Raw genomic sequence first — 26166 nt, forward strand, 5'->3', positions numbered from 1 at the left:
CACAGTGGCTCATGACTGTAATCCCAGCACTTTGGGAGGCTGAAGCCGGAGGATCACCTGAGGTCAGGAGTTCGAGACCAGCCTAGACAACATGGTGAAACCCCATCTCTACCAAAAATACAAAAATTATCCGGGTGGGCGTCTGTCATTCCAGCTACTGGGGAGGCTGAGGCAGGAGAATTGCTTGAACCCAGCAGGCAGAGGTTGCAGTGAGCAGAGATCACACCACTGCACTCCAACCTGGGTGACAGAGCGAGACTCTGTCTCAAAAAAAATTAAAAATAAAAATAAAAAAAGATCTTTTTGGTCCATTTTACCTAATAAAGCTGTATGGTAGGCAGGTATGGAAATTGGGGTTTACAATAAACCAGCTATATGCTGCTATGTCCTCATGTGGACACTAGGTGGAGCTGCAACTATAAGAGTGGCTCTTAGGACCCAGAACAGGACAGAGAGCCCCGGACCCCCTCAACTTTAGCCCTTGAACTGGGCTGGCAGTGGTGTTGGCTAGAATTGAATTGTATGATATGGAGTAATAAGTATCCTTAGTGACCACCCAGACTACCAGACACTGCACCGTCAGAAGCATTCAAACCAGAGTGACTCCATCTTGAACAGGGGCTGTGGGTAAAATGAGGCTGAGACCTGCTGGGCTGCATTCCCCGGAGGTTAGGCATTCAAAGTCACAGGAGGAGACAGGAGATAGGCACAAGATACAGATCACAAAGATCACACTGATAAAACAGGATGCAATAAAGAAACTGCCAGAACCCGCCAAAACCAAGATGATGACGAAAGTGACCTCTGGTTGTCCTCACTGTTCATTATTCACTAACTATAATACATTAGTTGCTAAAAGACACTCCCAGCAGCGCGTGACAGTTCACAAGTGCCATGGCAACGTACGGAAATTACCCTATATGGTCGAAAAGGAAGAGGAACCCTCAGTTCCAGGAAATTCCCACCCCATTCCTGGAAAACTCATAAATAATCCACTCCTTATTTACCGTATGATCAAGAAATAACCATAAGTCTACTGAGTCGAGCAGCCCGTGCTGCTGGGGTAGCCCCTTTTTTATTCATTTACTTTCTTAATAAACTTGCTATCACTTTGTCAGCTTACTTTTGAATTCCTGCATGAAGCCAGGAATCCATGTGGCCTCCCAGGCTGAACCCTGTGACAGCACCACACACATCCCTCACATCAACCTGAAAACGAGGCAGGGCATGGAGGACTTCTTTTTTTTTTTTTTTTTTTTTTCCGAGACAGAGTCTCGTTCCGTCGCCCAGGCTGGAGTGCAGTGGTGTGATCTTCGCTCACTGCAACCTCCGCCTCCCGCGTTCAAGTGATTCTCCTGCCTCAGCCTCCCGAGTAGCTGGGATTACAGGCATGTGCCAGCACACCTGGCTGATTTTTGTATTTTTCGTAGAGATAGCGTTTCACCATGTTGGCCAGGCTGGTCTCAAACTCTTGACCTCGGGTGATCCACCTGCCTCGGCCTCCCAAAGTGCCGGGATTACAGGCGTGAACCACTGCCCCTAGCCAAGGATGACTTCTTGAGTTTACAGAAGAGGAAACAGGCCCATAGAGGCTCTGTCACCCAACTAAACAGTGAAGGCACAAAGCCTGGACCCAGTGGGCCTCACATCAAGGCCTCCTGACCTCACCAGCCCAGAACCCAGGGCTCCAAAGTGCATCCTTCAGGATCTGCTCACAAGTTTCCCTCCCCTGTGCACCCCCGGCCCCCGACTACGCCCATCACCAGGGTGAGGGGTGCGGAAATGAATCGCACCCTTCACCCTGCAGAGGTGGGCTCTGAGCAGCCCCTCTGGGAAGGGTCCCCACGGATCCCAGTGAGATAGAAGCCTGGCAAAGGAACACGTGTTTTTTTTTTCTCTCTCTCTTTTCCAGACATGTATTTTAATTTTTTAAAAAAGCTTTGCTCTGATAAAAATAGTGCATGCTCATTATAAGAAATTCAAGTAACACCGAAGAGTACCAAAAACAAAAATTTCAAGTGGTCCGGAAATCCAGCACCCCAGAAATAATCATGGCTGACACCCAGGAAACATGGATGGAGACATCTCTCTACGCACATATTCAAAGGAGTTTTTTTAACCAAAATGGGCTCATACAATACATACTCTTTTTAGAAAAAGTGCCATACTTAAATTTAACAGAACAAAAGGCAACTTAAATGTAACTAAAGAAATTACCAAGCTGCAAATAATGACGCTGCTTCTTCTGGTTCTAAATTATTTCTCTAAAGGAAAGAAAAATATTAAGCAGCTGGATTCATTCTTTCAGCATGTTTCAACTATAGATGGCATCTCTTGACAACCTACGATTTAGGATAAGGAAATGAGCTCACCACCACTTCCTAGCTCCTTCCCCCTCCCAAATTTTGTGAGTTCGTGTTTTTACATTGTCAAGGTTTATACTACTTACATCCTGTCCTGTAACCATCGTTCCCACCATTGTTTGGCCTGTTGTGTGTGTATGGATTCCCTGTTCCACCGCCTGTCCTTCTAGAATGGGTTTTTCCATTCTTGGGTTATTTTCCTTCACCTCATGGCTACCTTGACTTTGTCATCAAGGAGTCTTTTCAAGGTCTGAGTTGGTCACAGTCACAGGGATGTCACTGCTGGACTGCAAGGTTGGAGACTGAACTCTGAAATGGGAGTGAGTGGGCTATATAACTGACTCAGGCTCGATGGAATTTACAGGAAAGGGACAAAGCACTGTACCCTCCATTACGATGACTTGCTAAAAACCACTGTGTCTTGAACTTGTATCTGGTGACACAGAGTTGAAGTTTTAGAATTTGGAAATAAAATGACTGGGGTGGGGTCCCAAGTACTGTGTTCAAGGAAAGGACATGCCAGGCTGCGGGACCTCAATGCCTCCTCCCCATCAACCCTTTGACAGCTGTGCCCTATCCCACCTTGGAGGCCAAAGCAACTCCCTCCTGGGTGCTAATGCGTCATGTTGACTTCTGATTAACCCCACTTCCAGGAATGCCTTTAAGATTTCTACTTTTATCTACTGTTAAGAGCACACACTTACTGTAAATATGTTATTATAAACACTGTAAATCTGTATCATAAAACTGTGGTGCTGTAAACACTATAAATATGTTATCATAACCCTATGGTATATATGCCCTGGGTCTCGGGGGGGCAACAATGTGGGGATCCACCATCTCCTGGCTGCCCGAGACATGGCTTTTGTTTCTAAGTCCCTATTAAATGTTCCTAAGCAACTGGATTTGTCAGCCTCTGTGTTCAGCCTCTCAGCTCCCTCGGCCTTTGGGATTAGGTTTGCATACACCTGCTCACCGTGCAACACCCATCTTCACTTAGAAAAATCTAACTTCTCCTTCCAGGCCTAGGTCAAGTGACACCTCCTCTGTGAAGCCTTCTGTGAGGTTTGGATTCTCATTTGCAAATATTTACTTCCCTCCCCTCCTACTGTGGGATCTCTAGGCTCTACCCCCCCATTTTTAAAAAGATTTCCCATCCGTCTAGGTGTCTCCCATCTACTTGACCCCCAAGCCCAGAAAACAGGCACCCGCAGACCTAATGGCAGGCCTTGCCAGCTGCCCCCAAGCCCCTTTGCCCTCGGGCTCGGCTACGTGATTTGCTTTGGCCGGTGACATGCTGGAGATACGACCAAACAGCAAAGCCTTGACATGGGGTCAGGAGGCCTTGGAGCCCGGCCCACTGGGTTCAGGCCCTTGCACCTTGACATGGGCTCGGTGACACGGCTCACCCTCTTGTGCTTCTGCCATTGCCACTAGCACAGCTACTCCCTGGGTAGCCCATTGGTCCCAGAAGAATGAGAGACAGGACAGACCTTAACCAAACCCATGCCCAGGAGCCATCTAGCCAGGTCCGGCTGAAATCGGCAGGGCTGCCCCAGAAATCTACAGACACGTGAGCCAAAGATAAACGCTGAGAGTAGTAAGCCACTGAATTATGGCCATTTGTTACACAGCATATATGTGACAACAGTTGACTGATACACCACCTCTGTTCATTTCCCTTTGTGCTTGAGTTGCACTTGATTTCCACGGCTTTACTTTTTTTTTTTTTTTTTTTTTTTTTGAGACTGAGTCTCGCTCTGCCACCCAGGCTGGAGTGCAGTAGTGCAATCTCAGCTCACCGCAAGTTCCACCTCCCAGGTTCACGCCATTCTCCTTCCTCAGCCTCCCGAGTAGCTGGGACTACAGGCGCCCGCCACCACGCCTGGCTAATTTTTTTTTTTTTTTTTTGGTACTTTTAGTAGAGACAGGGTTTCACCATGTTAGCCAGGATGGTCTCAATCTCCTGACCTCGTGATCCACCCACCTCGGCCTCCCAAAGTGCTGGGATTACAGGCGTGAGCCACCATGCCTGGCCAGCTTTACTGTTTTAACTGTAGAGCTGATTTTGTGGTAGAGCGTTTGCCTTCCCACTGGTCTATAAGAAACGTGACATAAGGACTACGTCTGATTCGATTCTGACTCCCCAGCACCCAATTAAATGGCAGCCAATGTCATTCTTTTTTTTGGAAACAAGGTCTTGCTCTGCTGCCCAGGCTGGAATGCAGTGGCATGATCTTGGCTCACTGCAACCTCTGCTTCCCAAGTAACTGGAATTACCAGCACGTACCCCAACACCCAGCTAATTTTTGTATTTTTAGTAGAGTCAGGGTTTCGCCCTGTTGGCCAGGCTTGACTTCCCGGCCTCAAGTAATCTGCCCGCCTTGGCCTCCCAAAGTGATTACAGGTGTGAGCCACCACACCCGGCCAATGCCATTCTTTTCATCCTTTCCATCTGTACCTTTCCAGGACAGCCCAGTCCGGGTGGAGAGGCAAAGGTCTCTGTTTCCGGAAGGCCCAGTCTGGATGGAGAGGCAAAGGTCTCTGTTTCCAGGACTTACCTGCAAGTTTGGGCAAGAAAGTTCAAAAGCCCTGAGCTTTGGTTCCCATGACTGTCCATATGGCTCATTTGCAGCGACTCCTGGACTCCTGTTTCTCCCCCATTCAAGCTTCAGATTCCTAGGAGAGAACACTGACCCAGCCAGCATGACATGGGGACCGGGTTACACTGGCCTGGCTTTTGGAAGGAGAGGGGCCCGGCAGCCACAGCTTGCGTGGCTTCGTTTGCAGCCAGTAAGACGGTCTCTGGGAGGTTGCAGAGGTTGTTAGAGGGAAGCAGCGCTTATATAGAAGCCAGCTGAGGAGGATCCCGTACTTTAAACAAGCCAGGCTTTGAGCAGGTGAGGATAGGAATCATATCAGGTTAGTCCTGGGGACTCCTGGGCTGCAGAGCTGGTGTCCTGAGAAGATTGAGGATGGGTGTTGGTGCCCTGGCCAGACCCATCAGAGAGGGGGGCGGAGGCCTGGGCAGGAACCCTCTGTGTTCAGAAAACTGTTCAATGCCCCTTTCAGAGTATGGGCTTTGTCCTTCTCAACAAACCTGCTTGTTTTATTTATGATTTCTAGCAATAAAGAACCCATTTTATAGAAAGAACAGTAAGGAAAATGATAGCTAACATTTAGGAACTGCTTCCAAGGGGCAAGCACACCCCATGAGATAGGCACCACCATTCCCATTTGATAGATAAGGAGACTGAGGCACAGAGAGGCCACTGCCTTGCCCCATCGTCACAGCTAGGAAGGGTGGAGATCACATTTGAACCCAGGTCTCTGTAACTCCAGGGCCCATGCACTTGGCTCTTAAGTAGCACTGCCTCTAGGCCTCGTTCCTATGCACACGGCCCTGTGTCCCTGTTGATTGTCTGTTGTCCTGGCACGATTATTAATGGTGCCTCCTTTCATCCTCAAAAGGGTCCTGGTTTGAGGTGTTTTTTGTTTGTTCATTTGTTTGTTTTTGTTTTGTTTTTTTGAGACGGGGTCTCGCTCTGCACCCTGGTCGCTGCACCCAGGCTGGAGTGCAGTGGCGCGATCTTAGCTCACTGCAGTCTCTGCCTCCTGGGCTCAAGTGGTCTTCAAAAGGGTCTTGTTTGGCTGACAAATTTTAAGGCTAGGTAGAGCCTACATTATCATAGCAAGATGTTGGTGGGCAGAGTTTGGGAAACCCAGCTGACAGCTGTCCCTCACTGTCCCAGAATTCTGGCATTCAGGGCTCACTCTCCCGGGGCAGTTCCACACTGTGTTAATGAGGCAGCCCTGGTTGACCCTGGATACCTGGGCACTTCCCAGAGCAGACCTCCAGGATTTCCGTTACTCCAGGGCTCTTTGTTTATATTTTGACAAAGAGCTCGTTTTTCTCCCTGACGCCAACCCCTACCTGTACTTGCGAGGTTCTTCTCCCTGTTGTCATGTACTAGCTTGGCCAGGAAAGTGGCCACTGTTCTCCCTGGTGCTCCCAGGTAAAAGCTCCTGGGCTCACATCCAGGCTCCTGGACTTCCATCCGGGCTCCTGGCCTCCCATCAAGGCTCCTGGCCGCCCATCAAGGCTCCTGGCCTCCCATCAGGGCTCCTGGCCTTCCATTCGGGCTCCTGACCTCAAATCCGAGCTCCTGGCCTCGCATCTGGGCTCCTGGCCTCCCACCCGGGCTCCTGGCCTCCCACCCGGGCTCCTGAGCTCCCAGCCGGGCTCCTGGGCTTCCATCTGGGCTCCTGGCCTCCCATGAGGGCTCCTGGCCTCACATCTGGGCTCCTGGGCTCCCAGCTGGGCTCCTGGGCTCCCAGCTGGGCTCCTGGCCTCACATCTGGGCTCCTGGCCTCCCATGAGGGCTCCTGGCCTCACATCTGGGCTCCTGGCCTCCCACCTGGGCTCCTGGGCTCCCAGCCAGGCTCCTGGCCTCACATCTGGGCTCCTGGCCTCCCATCCAGGCTCCTGGCCTTGAATCTGGGCCCCTGGCCTCACATCTGGGCTCCTGGCCTCCCATCAGGGCTCCTGGACTCCCATCTGGGATCCTGGCCTGGAATCCAGGCTCTTGGCCTCCCATCCAGGCTCCTAGTGCTGGCTCTGCCTTCTCTTTTGGAGCGGGTGGTAGCAGTGGGGGCTGGTGAAATGTGTCACTTCCTGTCCCTGGCCCAGCTCTGAGGAGCTTCCTATGTGACCGTGACCCCTTCATGCATCTCTAGCCACTGTAGACAATACCCTCTCATCGCTTCCCTGAAAGTGATGCCCTTTCCTGAAAGCCAGCATGCCCCCCAGCAAGGCATGGAAAGCGCTGATTCTGCATAATGCTGAGAAGGGGTGCACACCTCAGTGTTCAGACCAGCCTGGGGCACTGGCTACTGGAGAAACAGTGAAGACATGTCTGCACTGAAGGACTTCTTCAAATCTTTGAAACGCCAGCCCATTTCCAAGAGGTCGGCGTGGTAGTCAGCACTTCTCAAACTGTCCCCTGAATCTTTTGTCTGGAACATCTCATGGGGCTGGTGTTCTGTGGGGCACACCGGAAAGGCATGGAGACAGGCAGGGGAGGATGAAGCCAGGATGTGGGAGAGATTTAAAGACTTTGAAAGGATCCATGGACAGGCGCAGTGGCTCACGCCTATAATCCCAACATTTTGGGAGGCCGAGGCAGGCAGATCTCTTGAGGTCAGGAGTTTGAGACTAGCCTGACCAACATGGTGAAACTCCATCTCTACTAAAAATACAAAAATTAGCCAGTGTGGTGGTAGGTGCCTGTAATCCCAGCTACTCAGGAGGCTGAGGCAGGAGAATCACTAGAACCTGGTAGGTGGAGTTTGCAGTGAGCCGAGATCATACCACTGCACTCCAGCCTGGGCAACGGAGCCAGACCTGTTTCAAAAAAAAAAAAAAAGATTTTAACACTGGAGATATGGCAGCCCGAGCACTTGTTCCAGCTTCCCTGTCCCAACCCAAGTTTCTAAACATGACTGAAACAACATGTATTTTAAAATCTGCAATAAGAATAGAAACTACAAAGGGATGTCCTCATTATCAGAAGTTGTGAGGACCGAATTGAATGTGAAAACTCTAGCCATAAGATGTGTTCAGAAGAGAACACCCGAAGGCCGGGCGCAGTGGCTCACGCCTGTAATCCCAGCACTTTGGGAGGACGAGAAGGGCAGATCACCTGAGGTCAGGAGTTCGAGACCAGCCTGACCAACATGGAGAAACCCCGTCTCTACTAAAAATACAAAAAATTAGCCAGGCGTGGTGGTGCATGCCTGTAATCCCAGCTACTCGGGAGGCTGAAGCAGGAGAATTGCTTGAACCCAGGAGGTGGAGGTTGCGGTGAGCTGAGATCGTGCCATTGCACTCCAGCCTGGGCAACAAGAGTGAGACTCCATCTCAAAAAAAAAAAAAAAAAAAAAAAAGCAGAAGAGAACACCTGTGAAGGGAAGGAAGGGAAGGGCCAGCTTAAGGACTTAGGGATGTGCTGAGTCCAGGGCCAGCTTAAGAACTTAGAGATGTGCTGAGTCCAGGGGAGGAGGCAGCTGTAGGCGACCGGTGGGTGTGGCAAGGACTTGCTCCGCCCCTACTGCCAGGAGGTGGCAGAGAGACCTACTGGGGAAATTATTTACCCTACAGATGAGGACACGGGGGCTCATTTCCTTCATAAACAGCCCTTTATCAATAAGATAAAGCCCAACAGCCCAACAGAGAAAAGAGGGGCAAGGAGAGGATCCTGCGGTTCACAGAGAAACACAAGTAACTAATATCATGAAAAGATTTTGGATCTCACTCAAAATTAATGCTAATTAAAACATCAACAACGCTGAACAATACATATTCACCACTGGCAAAACTTTTTAAAGATTGCTAATTTTCAGGGCTGAGGAGGGTGTTGGGGAAATAGGGTTCTTCCAGCTGACGGGATGTAAATTGGAACAACCTTTCTAGAGGACAATTTGGCATTAGCTGTCAAACAGAATTACTATTTTTATTTTTATTTTATTATTTTTTTTGAGACGGAGTCTCGCTCTGTCGCCTAGGCTGGAGTGCAGTGGCGCGATCTCAGCTCACTGCAAGCTCCACCTCCCGGGTTCACGCCATTCTCCTGCCTCAGCCTCCCGAGTAGCTGGGAATTACTGTTATTATTTTGAGACAAGGTCTCACTTTGTCGCCCAGGTTGGAGTCCACTGGCTCTATCTCTGCTCACTGCAACCTCTGCCTCCTGGGTTCAAGTGATTCTCCCACCTCAGCCTCCTGCGTAGCTGGAACCACAGGGGCCCACCACAACGCCTGGCTAATTTTTGTAGTGTTTGTAGAGACAGAGTTTCACCATGTTGCCCAGGCTGGTCTCCAGCTCTTGGGCTCAAGTGATCCACTCGCCTCAGCCTCCCAAAGTGCTGGGATTACAGGTGTGAGCCACTGCACCCAGCCTCAAACAGAATTACTAAGATCCTAGAAGAAAATATGATAAAATATTTCTATATTCTTGGAGAAGGGAAAAACCTAAGCAAGACACAAAATCCAGAAGCCCTAAAGGAAAAAATGAACAGATTTGACCTCATAAAAATGTAAAACTGTAGGGCTAGAGACTATGACAAATATAAAAGACAAATAATAGACAATATGTGCAACATGCAAAATAGCACTAAAATGCAAACAGCCCCTTCATATCAGAGGATAAAACTTTATATTCCAATATATAAATGGTCAATGGATAAGAACAGGCAACTTGCAAGAGAAGAAATTCAGATAGCCTGGAGTTGAGAAATGACCTTGATGCTCCCTGGGGATGAGATAAATGCAAATTTTAAAACAGATAATATCTAGAGTTGGCAAAGGGAAAGTAGTGCTCCGTAAACTGTGGGCACTATATGCTGTAGAATCTTTTGAAGGGCCATTTGGAAGAACCTATCAACACTGCAAATGTGCAGATAAACTTCTAGGAATCTGTCCTTTGGAAATGCCAGCTCAACCCTACATGGACATGAACGAGTACAATAGGCACCCCCCTTATCCTCAGGGGATACGTTGCAAGACCTCCAGGGGATGCCTGAAACAGCTAATAGGACTGAACGCTATGTAGACTATGTTTGTTCTTATACATGCATACCTATGATAAAGTTTAATTTATAAATTAGGCACAGTAAGAGATTAACAACTAATAATAAAATAGAACAATTATAACAATATACTGTGGTAAAACTGATGTGAATGCGGTCTCTCTCTCTCTCAAAATGCCTTATTGTACTGCACTCACCTATTTTTAGATGGTGGTTGACCGCAGGTAACTGAAACCACAGAAAGCAAAACTGCGATGGGGGGGGGCTGCCTGCATGCTCCTTTCAGACCTGTTTGTGAGAGAGTTTTAACTGGAGGGCATCTAAATAATCAGAGAGTGGGAAGAGAAAGGGGTACTCACTTTTTATAGTTTTGTATTGTTTGTGAATGTTTTCTATTTCATATGTTTTGTAATTAAAGCCAAAAAGGGTAATGACAAAAAGGAAAAAAAATGCTATGTGTCTGACTTTCGGGAATTTATTAGAGGGAGTGGAAATTCTACCACCTCCTATTGCTAAATCTCATTAAAATGCCCTTGAAATCAACCCAAACCAACTCTCAGGCACAGCCAGAACAACGGAGGCAGAGCAGAGCTCAGGATCCTGAATCCACACCCCCCGGCCACTCCTGGTGGGAAGAGAAGAAGAGGAGAGCTCGCTTCCCACCATCCCCATCCCACCTGGCTGGAGAGGCTGATGTGGGGCGAGGTTTGGCCATCAGTCCACAGAGGGGACTTCATGTACACAATTCATTAACATTTATTGAGCACCTATGATGTGCCAGGCACTGTTCTAGGTCCTGAGGATATGGTGATGAACAAGATCCCTGCTCTCATAGGTTACCCAGTGGGTGCCCTAAGCAGGCAATAAATAAATATGTGAGCAAGATGACAAGAGAATAGCAGAAGGCACTAAAGTTTTGGAGTAAAGCCATGAACTCTTTTTTTTTTTTTTTTTTTTTGAGACAGAGTCTTGCTCTGTCACCCAGGCTGGAGTGCAGTGGTGCGATCTCGGCTCACCACAACGTCTGCCTCCCGGATTCAAGCGATTCTCCTGCCTCAGCCTCCCGAGTGGCTGGGATTATAGGCACGTGCCACCACACCCAGCTAATTTTTCTATTTTTAGTAGAGATGGGGTTTCACCGTGTTGGTCAGGCTGGTCTCGAACTCCTGACCTCGTGATCCACCAGCCTCAGCCTGCCAAAGTGTTGGAATTACAGGCGTGAGCCACCGCGCCCGGCCCGAAAGCCATGAACTCTTTTCCCAATTATTTTCTTATTGAGAAGCATCTCTCAGCTTGCTGTTGGGTTCTGCTGTTAGTAAGCGTAAGGATGGAGGAAGGCTGGCTGATGACATTAAGCAGCTAAAGGCGTGGACTGTCGAGGCCAAATAGCATCAGCTCTCTTTGGCTTCCCCAGCCCATGGAACAGTCTTCCTATTTTGCGAATTTCCTACCTTATGAACTCACACCTGCTTATGATGGAAGCCAGAACCTTTCCCCATCTCTCTTGAAGATTGGGCACAGCATACAACTTAAGACACCACCCGTTGGCTGCTCCTGCATGAGGCTAAGTGACACTGAGAAGCAGATGACTGGAGTCCTTTCTGTCAGGATGACAGCAGATCCCAGAGGCAGCAGCAGAAAGAACCAGTGCAGGTAAATGGCCTTTGAGCCTGGTTCTCTGATTTCGCTAAGATTTTATGAGGCACCTCCTATCCTTTAATAGGTTCCTCTGTAGCTTAAAAGCAGCTAAAGAGCAGTCTGTTGCTTGTAATTAAGGACTCCTACCAGTACACGAAGGGAGAAAAGCAATAATCAAATAAATTACTTTCAGATAGAGATCAGTGCTAGGAGGAGGTCAGCACAAGGTGATGTAAGACAGAGTGACAGGTGGGGTGAGGGCTACACTTGATAAGGGGTCAGTGAAGCCTCTCTGAGGAGGTGACGTTAGGCTGAGACCCAAACAATGAGAAGGAACTAGCCATAGAAAGATCTGGGCGAGGAGACTTCTAGACACGGGGAGCAGAAAATGTAAAGGATGAGCTTCAGATGTTGATGGATGTAGGGAGGGTTGATGTGTTTGGAGTTTAGTGCAGGTGAATAAAGAGGAACATAATGAGATTGGAAAGTAGGTAGGAGTCAGTTCATGCCAGGCCTTGCAGATCATGGTAAGACATTTGGATTTTATTCTGAGGTTAGTGGGAAGCCATTAGAGAGTTTTAAACAGGACATAATATAGTACCTGGGGTAGCCAGCCTCCAAAACATCCTCCAGTGATCCTTGCATCCTTGTATTTACACTCTTGTGTAGCCCCTCTCACATTGACTAGGGCTGACCCAATAGGATGCTGCAATGTGACGGTATATAACTTTCAAGGATAGGTCATAAAAGACATTGTGACTCTGCCTTGGTCTCTCAAATGTCTCCCTCTGGGGAAGCCAGCCACCATGTTGTGAAGATACTCAAGCAGCCCTATGGAGAGGCCCACACACTGGGGAGGCACTGCGGCTTTCTGCCGACAGCCTTGTGAATGAGACACCTTGAAAGAGGATCCTCCAGCCCCAGCCAAGCTTTCAAATGGTTCCAACTCTGACATGCTGACAACTTCATGAGAGGCCCTGAGCCAGAACCACCCAAACTCCTGACCCATTAGTGTGTTATGTAACAAATGTTTGTTGTTTCATGCCACTAAGTTTTGGGGCAATTTGCTACCTCTAGCCATTGTTCCCAGCTGGTGTGTAGTCTGACTGGCAGGTGCCCATGCTTTATTAGTGGTTTGATATTTTGACTATCGGCCCTGAGTAGGAGGAATGACACAGAGAGGAGATAGAGTTGTGAGTGAGAGGAGGCCAAATCGTGGTGTCAGAGCGAGAAGCAGCACCCTGGGGAGGGCTGAGTCACTTGTGCTGTCTGGAGGAAGGCGGAGCAAAGATCTGCAGCCCAGCTGACTGTGGTCTCAGCTTTTCTAGCCTCCAGGCTTTCTCCCGGGTTCCTAAGTCTGTATGTGCTCACTGGAAATGCCCCATGACTTGGGGTGACATGGGTGAGTTTTCTTCCTCCTTCCTCCCAGAGCCACGCCAGACCTGATGCTGGAGGGCTGGGCTCTTGTCCTAGTTCCCCGTCCTGGGCTGGGCCCAGGGCACCGGCCAGTGGGAGAAACTGCCTTCTCCGCCTCCTACATGCACTGGTGGTCACACCTCGCCCCACATCAGCCTCTCCAGCCAGGTAGGGTGGGAACCACAGGAAACGAGCCCCCTTCTTCTCTTCCCACCAGGAGTGGCCGGGGGGTGTGGATTCAGGATCCTGAGCTCTGCTCTGCCTCCGTTGTTCTGGCCGTGCCTGAGAGTTGGTTTGGGTTGATTTCAAGGGCACTTTAATGAGATTTAGCAATAGGAGGTGGTAGAATTTCCACTCCCTCTAATAACTTCCCAAAAGCCAGACACATAGCATTTTTTTTCCTTTTTGTCATTACCCTTTTTGGCTTTAATTACAAAACATATGAAATAGAAAACATTCACAAACAATACAAAACTATAAAAAGTGAGTACCCCTTTCTCTTCCCACTCTCTGATTATTTAGATACCCTCCAGTTAAAACTCTCTCACAAACAGGTCTGAAAGGAGCATGCAAGCAGCCCCCCCACATTGCAGTTTTGCTTTCTGTGGTTTCAGTTACCTGCGGTCAACCACCATCTAAAAATAGGTGAGTGCAGTACAATAAGGCATTTTGAGAGAGACAGAGAGAGAGAGAGAGAGAGAGAAACCACATTCACATCAGTTTTATCACAGTATATTGTTAGAATTGTTCTATATTATTATCAGTTATTATTATTATTTTTGAGATGGAGTCTCACTCTGTCGCCCAGGCTGGAGTGCAGTGGTGCAATCTTGGCTCACTGCAACCTCCGCCTCTTGGGTTCAAGCAATTCTTCTGCCTCAGCCTCCCAAGTACTGGGATCACAGGCACCCACCACTGTGCCTGGCTAATTTTTGCATTTTTAGTAGAGACAGGATTTCACCATGTTGGCCAGGCTGGTCTCAAACTCCTGACCTCAGATGATCTGCCTGTCTCAGCCTCCCAAAGTGCTGGAATTACAGGCGTGAGCCACTGCGCCCAGCCTTAGTTATTATTGTTAATCTCCTGCTACACTAACTCCATGGCCTGAACAGTCCACCCCTTTGGCTGCTTAACATCGTCATCTGCCTTCTTCCATCCTTGCACTCACAAACAACAGAACCCAACAGCAAGTGGAGAGATGTTTTTCAAAAAGGAAATAGTTGTGAAAAGAGTTCATGGCTTTGCTCCAAAACTTCAGGGCTTTCTGGCATTCTCTTTTCATCTTGCTCATATATTTATTCATTGCCTGCCTAGGGCATCTGCTGGGTAAGCTATGAGAGTGGGGATCTTGTTCATCACCATATCCTCAGGACCTAGAACAGTGCCTGGCACATCATAGGTGCTCAACAAATGTTAAATTAATGAATTGTGCCATGAAGTTCCTTCCTATATTGAATAGAGCTGACCTGTGTAGCCAATAGGGTATTGCAAAAATGACAGTGCATTTCATGAAGCCTCAGTTTCCATGGCTAAGTGCCTCTTCCTTTGGTTATTCCCAATTTCAGATTCCAGAGAAGGGGAATATGATTGGCTCATCTTATCTGTCTGTACCAAGCCATGCCATAGATTGCCAGGTGGCCTATAAATTGGAAGCTTCAGGGAGATGTGTCTGCCTACCTTAGTCAATTAGAAGTCCCATGGCCGCTCAGACACTGTGGTTGACAAGTCTAGTATGATAGGGTCACATCTTATCGGAGGAGTGATTCTAAAATCTCTACGTAAGACTTTATCCCATACAGAGTTACTCATGAAAATCCCTTAAATTACCCATACATTTATTTATTTATTTATTTATTTATTTTATTTTATTTTTTTTTTTGAGACAGAGTCTCGCCCTGTTGCCCAGGCTGGAGTGATCTCGCGATCACTGCAATCTCTGCCTCCCGGATTCAAGTGATTTTCCTGCCTCAGCCTCCCGGGTAGTTGGGATTACAGGCATGCACCACCATGCCTGGCTAATTTTTTTTTGGTATTTTTAGTAAAGACGGGGATTCAGCATGTTGGCCAGGCTGGTCCTGAACTCCTGACTTCAGAGGATCCGCCCACCTCAGCCTCCCAAATTGCTGGGATTACAGGCGTGAGCCACCGTGCCTGGCCAAAAAATACACATCTTTAGACATGAAAGTCACAGTCCTCATAATGAGATGCTCACAGTGTAAGAGGCATTTGTGAGACCCACTGAGAGAGTAACAGGCTCCCATCGCATCTATCTCTGCTTATTCTGGGCACACACTCTGAGTAGAATGATAGGTAGACTCGCTGGCACTATTTAAATTGTCCTCTCCCCTCCGCTCCATTCCTCCTTCCTTTCTTCTCTTTATTTACACATACATGCTACAAGGGTTTAAACATCCACTTGCTCTTGTTGGATTTACACATGAATTGCATGGAGGTCTGAATATAAGAGGAAGAAAATTAATCTGATCCCAGTGAGAAAGCCCTGAGCACAGATGTAAAAGAAGAAAGCAGCAAAATTGTATTGATAATCCTATTTCCTGAAATAGATCTCTCATATGAAATGTAAGGAGATTTTAGAAAACAGCTATTACCTATTCTGAGGGAGATTAGACAGGGACAGTGCAGGGGGAACTGGGTGCTTCATCATATCAGATTGTCCCTGGAAGCGGAAATAAATAGGCTTACAGGAAATTGGATTATTAAGCAGAAGATCAACAAGAGAAACCTATGTGGCAAGTGAGGGAAATTAATGGAGAGATGAAAAGAAAACAAGGGAAAATGCCAGGCATTTAGGATAAAGTGTGAAGATATAGTATGAGGGAAAAACACTTTAAGTTTCTGGATAAAATAAATCAGGTGGAAGGAAATCAATAATCAAAAACTTGTTCTCTCTCTCACTCACACCACACACACACACACACACACACACACACACACCCCATTGTAAAATCCTTAAGGACAAAGAGCTTGTCTATTTTCTTCACTGCTCTCTCCCCAGAACTTAAAACAGTGCCTACCTAGCATATAGTAAGCACTCAATAAATATTTGTCAAATAAATGAATGCAAGACTTTAAAATGAACTGAGATGGGTCATCTTGTACCAATTAAAACGAGACTACTGACCCTAAGCTATCTCTTGGCGAAACTCTTAAACTTGGTACAAAAATAAAGACTTCTGGCCAGGCGTGGTGGCTCACACCTGTAATCCCAGCACTTTGGGAGGCCGAGGCGTGTGGATCACCTGAGGTCGGGAGTTCAAGACCAGCCTGGCCAACATAGTGAAACCCAGTCTCTACTAAAAATACAAAAATTAGCTGGGTGTGGTGGCGCATGCCTGTAATCTCACCTACTCGGGAGGCTGAGGCACAAGAATTACTTGAATCCGGGAGTGAGAGGTTGAAGGGAGCCAAGATGGCCACTCCAGCCTGGGCAACAAGAGTGAAACTCCGTCTCAAAAATAAATAAATAAATAAAGACTTCTCCCAAATTTCATGCAGAAAAAATTCAAACTTAGATGATTTCCGAAGATCTTAATAATCAGGACAACCGTGAACTTCTCATGCAACCGTCAATGCCTGAGACAATGGAGTGAAAGCTACCAGATCCTTAAGAGAAAAGTGTCCCCCAGGACTCTTAAAGCCACCAGCCCTGATGTTGGCCACGGGAAAAGACAATCAAGGAAAATCTCCGACCTTCGGTGAAATGCAGAGACTAAGGGACCCCTGTGCTGCGTGTGATGCGATTTTGAGAGAAAAAAAAAAAAAAAGGCCAGGTGTGGTGGCTCACGCCTGTAATCCCAGCACTTTGGGAGGCCCAGACAGGAGGATCCCTTGAGCTCAGGAGTTAGAGACCATTCTGGGCAACATGGCAAAACCCTGTCTCTACAAAACAAAACAAAACAATACAAAACAAAACAAACAGAAAAATAGCCAGGTGTGGTGGCACGTGCCTGTGGTCCCAGCTACCCTGGAGGCCTAGGCGGGGAGATCGCTTGAGCCTGGGAGGTCGAGGCTTCAGCGAACCAAGATCACGCCACTGCACTCCAGCCTGGGCCACAGAGCAAGATTGTCTTAAAAATAAAACAAAACAAAAACTAACGGAGCCCTGAAAAGGGAGCGCAATTCATCAATCCGCTGACGGTGATGGGCCCCCTGGCCCGGTGCAGCGGACCCTTAGGTCCTGGTGGGGGAGTCGGTCAGTCAATGCATGGGTGAGCAAATGAGTGAAGCAACGCGAGCACAGCGCTGGCCCGGATCTAACTTGGCGGTGACAGCCCAGCCCCGAGCTGGACATGGCAGGCCCCTCGGCCTGGCCGTTGCCTGAGAACCCTAGGATCACAGCGTTGGGCCGGAGTGGGACAGGGCCGGGTAGCGTCCCCCGACAGAGCTGGGTCAGGGCCTTGTTGTGGCCGGGGGCAGGCCCGGCAGCTGAAAGCGTAAGACCCCCGGAGCCCGGCACAGCGCTCCTCACCACCGGGAAAGGCGGCTGGGCCTGACCGGGCTCCCGCATCCCCCCACCCCGGAGCGTGCAGCCGCCCCAAACCCCCAGCGGCCTCCGGCTTCCAGGTGAGCAGCACCGGAAGGGAGCGGCGCCGCGTCCTCACCGCCGCGGGGGGGGCTCCCCAGCCGCGTCCCCGCCGCTTCACGCCCTCCGCGTGGAAGGACGGGGGCCCGGGGACCCCTGCAAACGGCTGAGACCCCAAAGCCCGGCTCCTCTGCCCGGCTGTCCCTCCCCGGAGCTCCGGCCGCACGGCCGCTTCCGGCACCGAGGACGCCCCGGGCTCCAGCGTTCAGCCTGCGTTTCTGGACACCCGGGATGCGCAGGGGGTTGGACAGGACCGCCCCAAACCTGCGTCGTGGGGCTTCGCCCTCCTGAGATCACCCAGGCAGCCTGTGCGCGGCCCCACCACAGCGCCTGAGGCGGCACCGCCTGAGCGCGTTCAGAAAGTAGGCAGTACTTTTATTTTTATTCTTATTCTGAGACAGGGTCTCGCTTTGTCGCCCAGGCTGGAGTGCAGTGGAGCGATCTCGGCTCACCACAGCCTCGAACTTCCGGGCTGAAGCCATCCTTCCGAGTAGGTGGGACTACGGGCGCACGCCACCACGCCCGGCTAATTTTTAAACTTTTTGTAAAGATGGGGTCTCACTACGTTGCTCAGGCTGGTCTTGAGCTCCTGAGCTCAAGCGATCCTCCCGCCTTGGCCTCCCAAAGTGATGAGATTACAGGCGTGAGCCACTGTGCGCGGCTGGTAGTACTTTTTGTACCTTGGGGACAAAAATAAAAACCCAGGCACTTAAGTGGCACTCCTACAGCAGCAGTGACTTAATAACTGGAGATAGAAAAATAAAAAAAAATAAAAAAAAATACTGGTGTCTGAACAAAGAGACATACTTAGAAAATTGTGTTATACTGACTGACATGCCTAATTCCCATCCCTTGTGGGGCGTGGGGGGCGGAGCACTTACTCCTCACCCCCGAAACCCCTCAAAATGATAAAAATAAGTGAGCAAAACAGACCCAAAACAGCAGCCCTAGCTCCCATCATTCCCAAGCAGTTTGCTGACTGACTCACCTGGCATTTCGTGGATGCAAAGAAGAGCCCCTTCCACCAGGTGAAGAAGAAAAGGGGGTCTGGGCACTATGGCTCATGCCTGTTATCCCAGCACTTTCGGAGGCTGAGGTAGACGAATCACTTAAGGTCAGGAGTTCAAGACCAGCCCGGCCAACATGGTGAAACCCCGTCTTAACTAAAAACACAAAAAAATTTGCCGGGCATGGTGGCACCTGAGGCAGAAGAATTGCTTGAACCTGGGAGGCGGAGGTTGCAGTGAGCCGAGATGGTGCCACTGCACTCCAGACTGGGCAACAGAGTGAGACCCTGTCTAGAAAAAAAAAAAGGAGACGAGGAAGGAGAAGAAACACGTGGTTTTAGGGGGGTTTATCTGAGGGTGGCCAGGCAGCTCCTGGGAATCTGCGCTGAGGAGCAGCCAGGCCTGGGGGCAGGGATGTCCAGGGGGAGCCAAAGCAGGCCCAGCTTGCCTTCCTTTCTGTCTGCGCCTCTGTTGCTCGGTGGCATCTTTTTTCGACTGTGTCCCTGTTTCTGTCTTTCCATCTTGCCATCACTTGAATCCTGTTTGACTCTGTCTCCAACTGTCCCTGCCTCAGGACAGAAATCTCTTCTCCCTGTTTCCCCAGCTCACCTACTTTTCCCCTCTCCCCGCTGTGCAGAGCTGCTCCCTCACCTCTGCTGAAACACGTGGGTCTTTCCATGATCCAAACAAGTTTGGTGATTACACTAACTGACCCTGTCTCTGGATGTCCCCATCCAGATCCCCAGGGCAGACTGAGCAATGGGCTCAGTCTCTGGGGCACTTCCCCACGGGGCAGCTGCCCCCTCTGCCCTGTGGTTGTGTGAGCACGTGGGGTTGGAATGGGGACACAGTCCACTCTTGGGAGTGGCAGTGAGTGTGAGAGTTCTCAGCTAAAGGGCAAAACCTGGGGACACACCTCAAAAAAAAGGCTTCTATTTAGGGCAGTGAAACTACTCTGTATGATACATCCATACTCTGTATGGATGCATGTCATTGTACATTTGTCCAAACCCACAGCATGTTCAACAGCAGAGTGAACCCTAATGTACGCTGTGGACTCTGGGCAATGATGATGTGTAGGTTCATGGATTGTAAAAAATGGACTGCTCTGAGGGGATGTTAATCATCGGGGAGGCTGGCAGGGAGTACACCGGAACTCTCTGTACCTTCCTTTTTGCTGTGAACATAAACCTGGTCTAAAAAAAATTAAGTCTTAAAAAAAAATTTTAGCTGGGTGCAGTGACTCATGCCTGTAATCCTAGCACTTTGGGAGGCTGAAGGGGGTGGGTCGCTTGAGCCCAGGAGTTGAAGATCAGCCTGGGCAACAAAGTGAGACCCCCATTTCATTAAAAAATTAGCCAGGCATGGTGGCACACACTGTAGTCCCAGCTACTCGGGAGGCTTGAGTCCAGAAGGTCAAGGCTACAGTGGGCTATGATCACACCACTCACACTCCAGCCTGGGCAACAGGGAAGACCTTGTCTTAAAAAAAAAAAAAAAAAAAAAAAATCAAGGACCAAGAGCAGTGGCTCACACCTTTAATCCCAGCACTTTGGAAGGCCGAGGTGGATGGATCACCTGAGTTCAGGAGTTTGAGACCTACCTGACCAACATAGTGAAACCCCGTCTCTACTAAAAATACAGAAATTAGCCAAGCATGGCAGTGTGTGCCTGCAATCCCAGCTACTTGGGTGGCTGAGGCAGGAGAATCACTTAAACCCAGGAGGCGGATGGTTGAAGTGAACTGAGATCGCACCATTGCACTCCAGCCTGAGCAACAAGAGCGAAACTCCATCTCAAAACAAAACAAAACAAAACAAAACAAAAAATTAAATTTTTCTTAAAGGGGAAAAAGAAAATAAAACGCTTCTATGTTAAGGAAACCCCACAAAAAGAGGTGCTCCTGGAAATCCTGCAGAAAAGCCTGAATGTAACTCTCCTAATGCCTTGTGCTCCCTTCTGCAGATTTTACAAATATATAGAAATATATGTACATTCCTAAGGCTTAAAGATAAATTTCACATGTGACTGTGAAATGAGATCGTAAAAAGATGTTTCTGTTCTATATGATTCAGGGTGAAAGGCTTTCTAAATGCAGTATGTTGCATTAGTATCTTCATACAGCCTCTTCCTGACATCAAGGTTCTATGCTTATATATCATGCATTAACATTGCTGAAAATCTATGTAAAAACTTGGCCCAGGAAGAACCTAATTAAAATATGCAGTTTCCTTGATTTAATATGGCCAAGATTTTGCCAAAAAAATTCTACATGTTTTCAGAGATAGCTCTGGGAACAGAGCTTTTTCTGTCGCTCTTTCTCAAGACACCCCCTTTGAATCTCAGTGAAGGACCAGGAAGGTACCTCACCAGCCAAGAGAGACCATCTCTGAAAGACACAGTTGCTTAGATGTGGGGCCAGTGATGATTGGTAGATTTATTCTTCTAGATTCTTTTTTTTTTTTTTTTGAGACATGTTCTGGCTCTGTCTCCCAGGCTGGAGTGCAGTGGCAAGATCTTGGCTCATTGCAACCTATGCCTCCTGGGCTCAAGTGATCCTCCCACCTCAGCCTCCCAAGTAGCTGGGACTACAGGTGCATGCCACCACACCCGGCTAATTTTTTTTAAAACTTTTTTGTAGAGACGTGGTTTCACCATATTGCCCAGGCTTTCTAAATGTTGAATAAACCTCAAAAGAGAAATGGCAGCATTTGCTTCTTTGTAGAAACTAAATGTGGCAAAATTCTCCCATCCTGAATCACAAATTAATTGTTCAAATGGCTATTTCTCATCCAAGGTGTTAGACAGTTCTCTCATTTCCAGGGAGTTTCGTGAAACCATGGTTTGCCTGGCTTCTGTTTTTTGTTGTTGTTGTTGTTGTTTGTGGGTTTGCTTTCTAAGAGACGGGGTCCTGCTCTGTCGTGCAGGCTGGAGTGCAGGGCACAATCATGGCTCACTGCAGCCTTGAACTCCTGGGCTCAAGCGATCCTCCTGCCTCAGCCTCTTGAGTAGATGGGAATATAGGCACATGCCACTGTGCCTGGCTAACTTTTTAACTTTTTTGTAGAGATGGGGTGTCACTGTGTTGCCCGGGCTGGTCTTGAACTCCTGGCCTCATGAGATCCTCTGGGCTTGGCCTCCCAAAGTGCTGGGATTACAGGCATGAGCCACCAGACCTGGCCTGCGTCTAGTTTCAAATTGTGCTCTGAGAGTCCCAGGGATGGGCTGGAGCTGCCCTCCTACCCCACACAGAGCAGCTCTGATTTGATCTGTTTTACTTATTTTCCTAATGTAGTTGTTGTTTGATTAGTTATACATTAAACATCAGTTATATAGCAACAGCCCCCTAATCCAGCCCTGTAGTTGTCAAACTCTTGGGTTTTTAAAAATATTTACATTTCTAATTCTAAATAATAAAGCTTATATGTCTATTGATTTTTTCAATTTGAACCACCATCTACTGACTTCAAACTTCCTACTCTGAAAAATGGAGACTAAGCTCTCTGACCATACCCCTCAACACCTATACACAAACACACCATTTCCCCCTGCTGATCTTCCCCAGAGAGTTACATCACAATGTTCAAAGAAATCAAAAGTGTTTGTTTGTTTATTTGTTGAGACAGAGTCTTGCACTGTCGCCCAGGCTGGAGTGCAAAGGCGTGATCTCAGCTCACTGCAACCTCCACCTCCCAGGTTCAAGTGATTGTCCTGCCTCACCCTCCCGAGCAGCTGGGATTACAGGCATCCGCCACCGCACCCAGCTAATTTTTTGTATTTTTAGTAGAGACGGGGTTTCACCATCTTGGCCAGGATGGTCTCGAACTCCTGACCTCGTGATCCACCCACCTCAGCCTCCCAAAGTGCTGGGATTACAGGTGTGAGCCACCGCGGCCGGCCCTCATAAGTGTTTATATCATGATGACTGTAGAAGGTACTATTCACCCTGCCCATGATAGGAAGAATGCCTAACTCCAAGTGTGAGATCGGGCACAGATTTCCAGAAGTTAACAGATAAAGTGAGACTTGAAGAACACGCCTAGGGTAGCAAGGAGACGGGGAGCTTGGGTGGAAAGACATTTGGGGAATTGGAGGCATGAGGGAAACTGAGAGGCGCTCAATGGGAGGGGCTGGAGGGGTGGGGAGCAGGGGGAGACGCCAAGGAGTTCAGTGCAGAGCAGTGTCAGATCAGATTTGCATTGAGGAACATGCCTGTGTGGTGCCTGATGAACATGGACACAGGGGTGACTGGAGGTACAGCTGGGCCTACCCCAGCTGAGCCTCATGAGTGAGCTACCAGTGAGTTCGGGGTAGTCCTCTGGCAAGAAGTGTCACTTGTCAGAAGTCAGAGGCCACCCAGGGACCTGGTTGGATGGGGATGCCAACCATGAGAGTAAAGAACAGCTCAGGCCGGGAGCAGTGGCTTACGTCTGTAATCCATGCACTTTGGGAGGCTGAAGCGGGTGGATCACCTGAGGTCGGGAGTTCAAGACCAGCCTGACCAACATGGAGAAACCCTGTCTCTACTAAAAATACAAAATTAGCCCGGCGTGGTGGCGCATGCCTGTAATCCCAGCTACTCAGGAGGCTGAGACAGGAGAATCGCTTGAACCTGGGAGGCATAGGCTGTGGTAAGGTGAGATAGCCCCATTGCACTCCAGCTCTGGGCAACAAGAGCAAAACTCTGTGTAAAAAAAAAAAAGAACAGCCCAGCTTAGAAGGGAGAAAGATGAGTTCTCATCTGGGCACGTCGAGTTTCAGATGCCTGTGGGAGCTGTGGGGCTGAAGCTTAGGAGAAAAAGGCCAGGAACAAGGTGGAGAAATATATATTTTTTAAATTGTATTAAAAAAATATAATTTTTTATGGCTGTAAAATTTCTGTTAAAAAATTGGCTTTGTGTGGGAAAAAAATCGTGCTAAGAGCTTGCTTTGGAAGGTGAAACGCCCACTTCTGGAGGGCCGGGGTGTCAGCCGATCTCAAGATTCAGAGGAGGGAAGATGCTTCAGACAATAGGGAGGACTTTGGAGTTGCAGCAGTAAAATGAAAGGTAAAGTGGGAGAGGAGCTGAGGTGGAGGCAAGAAGCAAGATGGCAGAGGCTGTGCCAGTCCTGGTAAGACCCCTGCCTAGACAGCCCCCAAGACCTCTGGCAAAGTCTAATGACCCCACAGTGGGGTGTGATTAAATGTTGTGGGGGAACCAAAGACAAAGTTGAGTTTTCCTTCAGAACCTGGAGTAGACAGAGAGGCAGCACACAGGAAGTCAGATCCCAAGAGGAGACGAGGCCAGAGTCCCTGGGAATCACAGCAAAACCCCAGGGAGGCCTTGGAATTCCAAGATCCATGGCTCACCTGGATTTCCAGTGGCTTGGGAGCCCCTAATTGAACTGTCCAAAAAGATGACGGAGTGAATGAAGTCCCACACTGGGGTGGAGGGAGAAGGGAAGAGGGCCTACCCCCGCTAAGGCCTGGGTGTGAGCTGCCTGGGAAGTGTGGGTCACAGACGTGGGGTAAAGGGAGATTTCAAGGAAGAAGAGGCCCCAAACGCCAGGTGGTGCTGGGAAGCCAAGTATGATGGGGAGTCCACTGGGTCTAGTGACAAGGAAGATGGCAGATGTCGGACTGCAGATGGGGGAAGAGTGAACAGGTGCCGTGGATTGAATATGTGTATCCCCTCCCCAGATTCATCTGTTGAAATCCTAACCCCCAAGGTGATGGTATTAGGAGGTGAGCCTTTAGAAGGTGATTAGGTCATGAGCTAAGAGCCCCCAGCAGTGAGATTACTACCCCATGAAAGGACCCCAGAGAGTTCACTCTGTCTCTCTCTCCCCATCACATGAGGATACAAAGAAAATTCGGCCATCTGCAACCCAGAAGACATCCCTTGCCAGAACTCAACCATGCTGGCACCACAATCTCATTCCAGACTCCAGAATGTGAGAAAGTGCATTTCTGTTGTTTATAAGCCTATGGGAGTCTAAAGCAACCTGAATGGACTAAAATAGGTGATGAGAAAGTAAAGCACAGAGTGCATATGAAACTTTCTAGACACTTGAACATGACGCTGTCCTGGGAGCCCTTTGGTTATATTCTCCTCCAAAAGCCCAAAGACCCTGTAGTACCATCACACAGCTATTTTGTTTTGCATATTTTTCTGGAAAAAAGGATAAAACAAATTATGACTGCGTATGATTCAAAGTCCCACCAAAATCTGTATGCCCCTTTCTCACAAAGACACATTTTACATCTTTGTTACAAAATTAATATGGGTTCTTTTTCTGAAAGTTCCTAGGATAACTCTTGTCCTCAAATTGTGCCAATTACTGAACAGAGAGGGTTCTGCCTTAAATGAGGAAATGGAATTATGATTGGAACACGTCATTGCTGATTATCGCTGCTCCCAAAAGAAGATGTAAAGAGGTTCAGGTTCCTTCCTTTTGTTTCATTTGTTTGCTTGTTTGTTGAGACAGTGTCTCAGACAGGCTGGAGCGCAGTGGCACGATCATGGCTTAACTCCCTGCAACCTCGAACTCCCAGGCTTAGGTGATCCTCCCTCCTCAGCCTCCTGAGTAGCTGGGACTACAAGTGCACGCCATCACACCTGGCTAATTTGTGTATTTTTTTGTAGAGATGGGATTTCGCCATGTTCCCCAGGCTGGTCTTGAACTCCTGGGCTCAATGGATCTTCCCGCCTCAGCCTCCCAAAGTGCTGGGATTACAGGAGTGAGCCACCTCATCAAGCCCAACCCCCTCCCTTTGAAATAGACTGGTTGTGGATACTCTGTCGGTTCCCCAAGAGGATGGAGAATCCAGTTCTCCCTGGATATATTTTTGTAAAGTACACCAAAGGAGAGGACTAAAGCCACTGTAGAAATAACCAGGGCTGTATGATGTTGTAGAGAGAAAAAGGAAAGTAGAATGAACCCTTAGGACTGGTGTATAGGTTTCTTGGTGTCTTGACATTTCCACCACATTTCTTATTTTAAAGAAACTGAAAAAGTGGTGGACATAGAGAAGGGAGCGCTTCCTGGCTTACGCCGAAGGAGAGCGGAGAGACAGGTGGCAGGAGGGGGAGATGGAGTCCAGGGAGCCCGCCCTTCCTTCCTTCCTTCCTTCCTTCCTTCCTTCCTTCCTTCCTTCCTTCCTTCCCTCCTTCCTTCCTTCCCTCCTTCCTTCCTTCCCTCCCTCCCTCTTTCTTCAGAGTCTTGCTCTGCCGCCAAAGCTGGAGTGCAGTGGTATGATCTCAGCTCACTGCAACCTCCACCTCGCGGGTTCAAGCGATTCTCCCGCCTCAGACTCCCTAGTAACTGGGACTACGGGCGTGTGCCACCACACCTAATTTTTGTATTGTTAGTAGAGATGGGGTTTCACCACATTGGCCAGGCTGGTCTCGAACTCCTGACCTCAAGAGATCCGCCCACCTCGGCCTCCCAAAGTGCAGGGATTACAGGTGTGAGCCACCGCGCCTGGCCCCAGGGAACACCTTTCATGGAAAAGACGAGCATATTTAAATGCTGACACACTGTGGGCAGAGAGTCTGGAGACAGTGGGAGAGAC

The 26166-nt window shown here is 48.7% G+C and overlaps 2 long non-coding RNA genes across 2 annotated transcripts in view, besides 10 other annotated features; one reads left to right on the forward strand and one right to left on the reverse strand.

Annotated features, from left to right (window-relative positions):
* The window catches only part of CRTC3-AS1 (CRTC3 antisense RNA 1), a 97132-nt gene that overhangs the window by 27829 nt on the left and 43137 nt on the right, over positions 1-26166 (reverse strand). The window lies entirely within an intron of this gene.
* Positions 6764-6963: an enhancer, noted in NCBI's record as "active region_10082". NCBI's record gives its function as "activates an Ori minimal core promoter by ATAC-STARR-seq in GM12878 lymphoblastoid cells {active_cell/tissue: GM12878}" and the evidence as "EXISTENCE:reporter gene assay evidence [ECO:0000049][PMID:35858748]".
* Positions 7224-7453: an enhancer, noted in NCBI's record as "active region_10083". NCBI's record gives its function as "activates an Ori minimal core promoter by ATAC-STARR-seq in GM12878 lymphoblastoid cells {active_cell/tissue: GM12878}" and the evidence as "EXISTENCE:reporter gene assay evidence [ECO:0000049][PMID:35858748]".
* On the forward strand, positions 12397-17117 carry LINC01585 (long intergenic non-protein coding RNA 1585). The gene is made up of 3 exons (NR_120371.1): positions 12397-12987; positions 13556-13646; positions 16518-17117. It is a non-coding gene; the product is annotated as a long intergenic non-protein coding RNA 1585 (long non-coding RNA).
* Positions 12553-13081: an enhancer, noted in NCBI's record as "H3K4me1 hESC enhancer chr15:91203621-91204149 (GRCh37/hg19 assembly coordinates)". NCBI's record gives its function as "activates a minimal SCP1, AML or CMV promoter by ChIP-STARR-seq in primed H9 embryonic stem cells {active_cell/tissue: H9 hESC(primed)}" and the evidence as "EXISTENCE:reporter gene assay evidence [ECO:0000049][PMID:30033119]".
* Positions 13304-13353: an enhancer, noted in NCBI's record as "active region_10084". NCBI's record gives its function as "activates an Ori minimal core promoter by ATAC-STARR-seq in GM12878 lymphoblastoid cells {active_cell/tissue: GM12878}" and the evidence as "EXISTENCE:reporter gene assay evidence [ECO:0000049][PMID:35858748]".
* Positions 13494-13543: an enhancer, noted in NCBI's record as "active region_10085". NCBI's record gives its function as "activates an Ori minimal core promoter by ATAC-STARR-seq in GM12878 lymphoblastoid cells {active_cell/tissue: GM12878}" and the evidence as "EXISTENCE:reporter gene assay evidence [ECO:0000049][PMID:35858748]".
* Positions 14204-14263: an enhancer, noted in NCBI's record as "active region_10086". NCBI's record gives its function as "activates an Ori minimal core promoter by ATAC-STARR-seq in GM12878 lymphoblastoid cells {active_cell/tissue: GM12878}" and the evidence as "EXISTENCE:reporter gene assay evidence [ECO:0000049][PMID:35858748]".
* Positions 15265-15314: a silencer, noted in NCBI's record as "silent region_6825". NCBI's record gives its function as "represses an Ori minimal core promoter by ATAC-STARR-seq in GM12878 lymphoblastoid cells {active_cell/tissue: GM12878}" and the evidence as "EXISTENCE:reporter gene assay evidence [ECO:0000049][PMID:35858748]".
* Positions 16921-16970: an enhancer, noted in NCBI's record as "active region_10087". NCBI's record gives its function as "activates an Ori minimal core promoter by ATAC-STARR-seq in GM12878 lymphoblastoid cells {active_cell/tissue: GM12878}" and the evidence as "EXISTENCE:reporter gene assay evidence [ECO:0000049][PMID:35858748]".
* Positions 17011-17270: an enhancer, noted in NCBI's record as "active region_10088". NCBI's record gives its function as "activates an Ori minimal core promoter by ATAC-STARR-seq in GM12878 lymphoblastoid cells {active_cell/tissue: GM12878}" and the evidence as "EXISTENCE:reporter gene assay evidence [ECO:0000049][PMID:35858748]".
* Positions 17451-17830: a silencer, noted in NCBI's record as "silent region_6826". NCBI's record gives its function as "represses an Ori minimal core promoter by ATAC-STARR-seq in GM12878 lymphoblastoid cells {active_cell/tissue: GM12878}" and the evidence as "EXISTENCE:reporter gene assay evidence [ECO:0000049][PMID:35858748]".

This window comes from Homo sapiens, chromosome 15 (assembly GCF_000001405.40).
Source record: "Homo sapiens chromosome 15, GRCh38.p14 Primary Assembly".
Taxonomy (NCBI): Eukaryota; Metazoa; Chordata; class Mammalia; order Primates; family Hominidae; genus Homo; species Homo sapiens.